Raw genomic sequence first — 6,688 nt, 5'->3', positions numbered from 1 at the left:
TCCGATGTGATCACAACCTGCAGAGTTGGGGCCTGGAATCAAAAGGGGGTGCTGTCCCTCCAGGTGGTCCTAGAGCACGCTGTGGAGTCCTCATTTCCAAAGGTCTCCCCCTAACCATTTCTATCCTTCTGAAAACCCCATCTTCCCTTAGAGCCAGAGGGAGTTGGAGGCAAAGGTCACTTTGATGTAGCAATGCTCAAGAACCTAGAAATCTGACCCCTCTCCTCCCTGCCTGCCTGCCTGCCGTCTCCAGCCCCTGGGCCCATGGCCCTTCATGCCTTCATCCTTAATTTATACAAACCACCTTGTAATAAGAAAGTCACCTCATTTTATAATAAGAAAGTCACTCCTTACCTCACTTGCTTCTCATTATAACTCAGGAAGGGAGGCTGGACAGGAAAGGTAACCCCACTTCACAGAGGAAGCAAACAAGACACGCTCCAGAGGCCAGGGTGTGGAATCCCAACAGCTTTCGAGAGGAGGAGGCAGGAGCCTGCGCCCCCTTCTCCCACCATCTGCGGTGTTCCTTCTCACATACCTTCCTGGACGGGTACCAGTTAGCCAAGAAAAACAAATAAACGCTAAATTTTCCACTTCTCTGAAAGCATTTTTGGCACCCCCTACACAATGCCAACAAGAAGAGAAGGAGAAATCATTCCATCAATAGCTCTGGCTTCCTTGGGTACAATTCTAATTAAAGTTAGACTGCCAGGGGCCTTCTGGAAAGGGCTAAAAATAAACTAAGGGCATTTTTAGATTGGGGGAAGAGTGTTTAGCAGGGAGGCTGCGGAGTGGGGGAGTGGGTGTGGGGCCCAGCAGGGTACCAGGCCCTGGGGAGACAAGCCTGGTTGTGACTTTGAATAAAGGGAAGAGCTGTCCCTAGCCTCTCCCTGCATTCATTTCTCTTTTCGTCCTTGCCTTCCCCTTTGAATAATGTGTTTTCGCTGCTACTTCAATCTCAGCCCATGCTCTCCACATTAACATGTATATTGCTTGGTTAAGGGCTATCTGGCCTGTTGGTTCTAAATAACTGGAAAATGACTGGAAGGTGATGGGGGCAGGATGAATGAGGGGCTCCTCAAAAGCTCCCACCTGCCTTTGTCGTTTATAAACAAACGCCCAGCTGAGTTCCACAATTCCAATTGCAGCTGCACTCTCCTAAATAGAGTGGGGTGGAGCCCGCCTGGGTTTGCCTCCTTGATCTCTCCAACCCCAAGTCCTAGCCCTGGACCATGCAGTCCAGGCATTCACTCACAACCATCAGCTTGTATTTACTCTGAGCCAGGCACCATGCTGAGCAATGAACATCACAATCACTGACCTCAGGGAGCTTATAGCCTCTGGAGACAGACACTGATCACAAGTTGTGTTGACGCATTAAGCCCTGAGACATGGTATGGCCGGGGCGGTGGGGGTGGTGCTCTGAGAGCACTGACAAGGGGCATCCATTCAGATGGGCTCTGATCCAGGAAGGCTTCCAGGAGGAAGTGACCCCTGATTGGAGTGTAGATAAACAAATAAGTGTTAGCCCAATGAATTAGTAATCCAAGGCTACTGTCTCCTCACCCCAAGGACCAACGCATTATGCTGTTTAATTTCCCTCATGGCATTTTACACTTATAAACATACACACACACATGCGCACGTGTGTACATAATTACATCAATTCAAAATACATACATATTTTTGTTGCTTGTTCTCTTTCTAAGGTGTATCTCCCTCCACTATAACGCAAGCTCCAAGGGGCCAAAAACACTGTCTTGTTGACTGCTGTAACTTTGGCAACTCACACTATGCCTGGCATGTAAAGAGAGCACAATTATTATTTACTGAATGGATGGATGGATGGATGGATGGATGGATGGATAGATGGATGGAAGCGGGTGTTTGAAGCAGAGGGACAAGGATCTGCAAAAGCATGGACTCAGGAGACCAGGCAGGTTTTCCGAATCATTCAAACCATTCAAGTCTGGGGCACTGGGTCCCCTGAGGGGACAGCTGAGGTATTCCAAGGCCAGCACTGTCAGCCTTCGTGGGCTTATACTAAACAGATCAGACTTTAACTTCAGGGTAGCGGGGAGCCATGGGAGGATTTTAAGCAGGGAGGAATGGGATCAGGTTTGCTCTTCAGAAAGATTGTATTTGTGGGAGAGGAGAGGATAGGTTAAAGGGCCGAGTGGAAAGTGAGAAACTAGCTGGGAAGCTGTTAGCAAGAGTCCAGGAGACAGAAGCTGAGTGCGGGACAGGTGCAGTTGCCCTCCACTTACAGAACAGCCTGGTGCTTTTGGGCAGCCAGGAGTTGGCTGGGCAGCAGGGCCTGGACTCTGGGCTGGCTGGACTCACTAAGTCCCTAGGCAAGTCACAGATGCTGGCTGCTCCTTGGAAATGCTCTGGAGGGAATAAAAGGAAGGCCACAGAAGAAAATAATTCCCAGTTGACAGTGGAGTGCCCAGCACACTTGACCATGAGATTTTCCCACTGATTGGGCTTCCACAAGTCTCCCCAACTATTGTCACCTGGTGTAAAAACACTGACAATTGCAAACAGTTTCAGGGCACTCCTTCTATGCCTGGGATATGTTCTAAGCATTTGGCGTGGCTGATTTAAGCTTTGCATGTTCTTGAAAGCACCTGGCTCCATAGTCAGTGCTCCGTGGACAACAGCCACACTGCTATGTTTTGCTATTGTCATTCTCACTAACATTATCAGCTTATCATCATCCACCCTTATAAGAGACACATGTGCAGGACAGATGTTCTCATTCCTTGAGTCACAGGTATGGAAACTGAGGTTCAAAGGGTATGTGAGGCTGGGCACAGTGGCTCACTGCTATAATCCCAACACTGGGAGGCTGAGGTGGGAGGATCGCTTGAGCTCAGGAGTTTGAGACCAGCCAGGGCAACAGAGCAAGACCCCATCTCTATAAAAAACAGAAAAATTAGCTGGTCATGGTGGCACGCACCTGTAGTCCCAGCTACTCAGGAAGCTGAGGTGGGAGGCTCGCTTGAGTTCAGGAGTTTGAGACCAGCCAGGGCAACACAGCAAGACCCCATCTCTATAAAAAACAGAAAAATTAGCTGGTCATGGTGGCACGCACCTGTAGTCCCAGGTACTCCGGAGGCTGAGGTTGGGAGAATTGCTCAAGCCCAGGAAGTCAAAGTCAAGGCTGCAGTGAGCTGGGATATCACACCACTCCACTACAGCCTGGGCAAGATAGTGAGACCCTGTCTCAAAAACAAACAGACAACAACAAAAAACAGGATATGTGACTTTCTCAAAGGCCTATAGACAACAAGGCACAGAGTAACCGTAGAATCCAGTTAATAAGGGTGACTCCAGGACTATAAACGGAAAGCGACTTTTAACACAGGCCCTAGCACCAGGCCAGGGGCTGCCCATAGTTTCCCTAAATGCCGCTCCATAAACCTGTACAGTGAGTGTTCCTATCCAACCTCTGTTTGCAAATGAGAAAATGGAGATTCAGAAGGTTGAGAAATGTACCTAAAATCATACAGCTAGTATGAGTTCGAGCCAGAACATAATACCAAATTATCCAGACTCCAGGGTCCACATTCCTCCAATTCCATCGTTGGGATTCTGAGCGCAGATTCTCTCCATTCACTCATTCCTTCCACGATGACTTATTTCACCTCTACTGCATGCAGAGGGCTGAGGTCTGCACCTGAATATGTTCTCCGTCCTTCCAGAGGGTAGAGATTTGGGGCTGCGGGTGGTGGTCTGCAGTGACTCCGATCTTGAGAGTTGGGGCACACTGCACAGCTTGCATGATAACGCCATGCAGAAGCAGAGACACATCCCTGGTCACTTCCCTCCCTGGTTTTCTGAAGAGCTACCGCTACCTGTAAAACATTTTCCTTTGAGCCCTCAGGCTTCAGGTGAAATGCTGATGCTAATCTTCCTCCAGATGCACGCATCCCCCCTGCTGTCTGCATTGCCAATGGGTAGCACAGGACACAGTACAAGGTGCTCCCCATGAGGCTGCTGTGCTTTGGACCCAGACGATCCCCCTCTATGACTCTTGGATGGGTTACTTTACCTCTCTGAGCCTCAGTGTTCTTCCTTATAAAATTGGGGTGATACGTTACACTTCCCTGGGTTGGGGCTCATTGGTGATTATTGCACCAAATTTCTGAGCCTCATTCATGAGGCCCCTGAATTCTTTTCTTCTCAGGAGCTTCTGAGGAAGGCTCAGCCTTGGGTAAAGTCAGAGTATTCCGTATCTTCCAGCCCAGAATTTGATGGGTGTCTTCCTGGTCTGTCCTGATGTCTGTGATGTCAGCAGTGCCAGCCTGTTGCAGCCGTACAATGTGTCTGATGTTCTGTCCCTGCCCAGATGTGCAACCTTGGGAACCCCTTAAGGCTCTTCCCTCTCCTCCTTCAAACAGGAGTCTCCGGCCAGGTCTTTGGGAATCTTCCAGCTCTCACATCCACATGCTAAGACTGGGGAAAGATGACCAGGCATGGTGGCTCAGGTCTACAACCCCAGCATTTGGGAAGGCCAAGGCAGGAGGATCGCTTGAACCCAGGAGTTCAAGACCAGCCTAGGCAACATAGTGAGACCCCATCTCTATAAAAAATAGAAAAAAGGCTGGGTGTGGTGGCTCATGCCTGTAATCCCAGCATTTTGGGAGGCCGAGGCTGGTAGATCACGAGGTCAAGAGATCGAGACCATCCTGGCCAACATGGTGAAACCTCATCTCTACTAAAAATATAAAAATTAGCCAGGCATGGTGGCAGGCACCTGTAGTCCCAGCTACTCAGGAGGCTGAAGCAGGAGAATCACTTGAACCTGGAAGGCGGAGGTTGCAGTGAGCCGAGATTGTGCCATCGCACTCCAGCCTGGCGACAGAGTGAGACTCCGTCTCAAAAAAAAAAAAAGGAAAAAATCAGGCAGATGTGGTGGTGCATGCCTGTAGTCTCACCTTCTCAGGAGGCTGAGGTGAGAGGATCACTTGAGCTTGTAAGGTCGAGGTTGCAGTAAGCCATGATTATGCTACTGCACTCCAGTCAGGGTGATAGACTGAAACCCTGTCTCAGAATAACAAAGAGAGAGAAAGAGAGGCTGGGGGCAGAGGGGGTGGGGAGCCAGCACCAGTGGCTTTCTTCTATCTTCTCTTTAAAAGCAACTGCTCCTGGGAGAAGTGACACATTCATCTCTTAAAGTATGTTTTAACGTCTTCTGTGGCAACTGCCTTTCAATCTTGCTACCTTGAGATGTTCCCACCAAACGGGGAGAGAGAGAGGAGGACAGCAACCTAAAAGATAAAACTGTAGGCCATCAGATCAAATCATTAAAGGGATCATGCGAATTAGCCCATCTTCATCACTTTCCTCAAACGCTTGTCAGCAACAAATATTTAATGAGCACCTGCTAAGTACAAGCTACTTTGCAAGGTACAAAAGAGGCCCCCTGTCTTCAGAAAGCTTGTATTCAGGATAGAACAACAGGATTCATTTTCATGAAAAAAAGCTGAAAACATAGAGCTTGATGCCTCTGGGGTGAACAAGGAGACAGAGGGTGGTGTGAGCTTAGCACCCGGGCTGAGGAGTGCAGCTTTGTCTGCCAGCTCTCCACACCCCGAGCAAGCTTCTATCGTGTGTCCTCGCCTTTCCCCAGGACCTGAGAGGACCTCGCAGCCCACTCTGCCTTCAGCTTCTGTCCAGCCCCCTCTAAAGGCCCCCACAAGGAAGTGCACACAATACAGGTTAGATCTTTCACTCCCTTCTGAATATAGCTTCTCACTTGCTATAGAAAAGGCTCCAAACTCATTGGCAATGGGATGGTCCAGAAATCCTCCTCTCTCTCGGAACTAACCTGCCCACGAGCATGTTCCGTTCACACTCTTCTATCAGCCTTGGAAAGCATCTTCCCCACTCTCCCCAGCCTCCTTCTCCTCCTCTTCTTACTTATAAAAATCTAGCTCACCCTCGAGGCACAATGTAAATGACATGGATGTGGGGAGGCCACGTCGTACCTGACTGTGTGTCCAGGGCTCTTGCTATCACACAGGGTATGCTCTGTGGATCAGGAGCACTGGCGGACATCAGGGCTTGTCAGGAATATAGAGTCTCAGGCCTTGCCCCATAACCACTGAAACACACTCTGTTTTAACAAAATTCGTGGCTGCGTCTGATGGCTCACGCCTGTAATCCCAGCACTCTGGGAGGCCAAGGTGGAAGGATTGCTTGAGATTAGGAGTTCAAGACCAGCCTGCCCAACATGGTGAAACTCCATCTCTCCTAAAAATACAACAACAAATAAAAACCTAGCTGGGCATGGTGGCATGCACCTGTAGTCCCAGCTACTTGGGAGGCTGAGACAGGAGAATCACTTGAACCCAGGAGCCAGAGGCTGCAGTCAGCCGAGATCATGCCATTGCACTTCAGCCTGGATGACAGAGCAACTCTGTCTCAAAAAAAAAAAAAAAAAAAAAAATCCATGAGTGCTTCACATGCAAAATAAAGTACGACAAGTTCTGTCTAGAGAATGCCTTGTACACAGTGCCTCACGCATTGTAGTCATTCAGGAGGTGTTTGTTGAGTGAATAAGTGAGTGAATCCAGGAAAGATCATCAAAGCCCAGTCATGGTTTCACCCACAGCCAGTCCTGAAACCCAGAGATGCTTCTTAGCTGTTTAAATAGAGTTATCGACACAACCCAAGAACC

General features: G+C 49.1%; 2 annotated features.

Moving 5' to 3' along the window:
* Positions 493-1,052: an enhancer, noted in NCBI's record as "OCT4-NANOG-H3K27ac-H3K4me1 hESC enhancer chr8:20316154-20316713 (GRCh37/hg19 assembly coordinates)". NCBI's record gives its function as "activates a minimal SCP1, AML or CMV promoter by ChIP-STARR-seq in naive H9 embryonic stem cells {active_cell/tissue: H9 hESC(naive)}" and the evidence as "EXISTENCE:reporter gene assay evidence [ECO:0000049][PMID:30033119]".
* Positions 1,053-1,613: an enhancer, noted in NCBI's record as "OCT4-NANOG-H3K27ac hESC enhancer chr8:20315593-20316153 (GRCh37/hg19 assembly coordinates)". NCBI's record gives its function as "activates a minimal SCP1, AML or CMV promoter by ChIP-STARR-seq in naive and primed H9 embryonic stem cells {active_cell/tissue: H9 hESC(naive and primed)}" and the evidence as "EXISTENCE:reporter gene assay evidence [ECO:0000049][PMID:30033119]".

Source organism: Homo sapiens, chromosome 8, assembly GCF_000001405.40.
Source record: "Homo sapiens chromosome 8, GRCh38.p14 Primary Assembly".
Lineage (NCBI taxonomy): Eukaryota > Metazoa > Chordata > Mammalia > Primates > Hominidae > Homo > Homo sapiens.
This window is presented reverse-complemented; position numbering and strand designations above follow the sequence as displayed.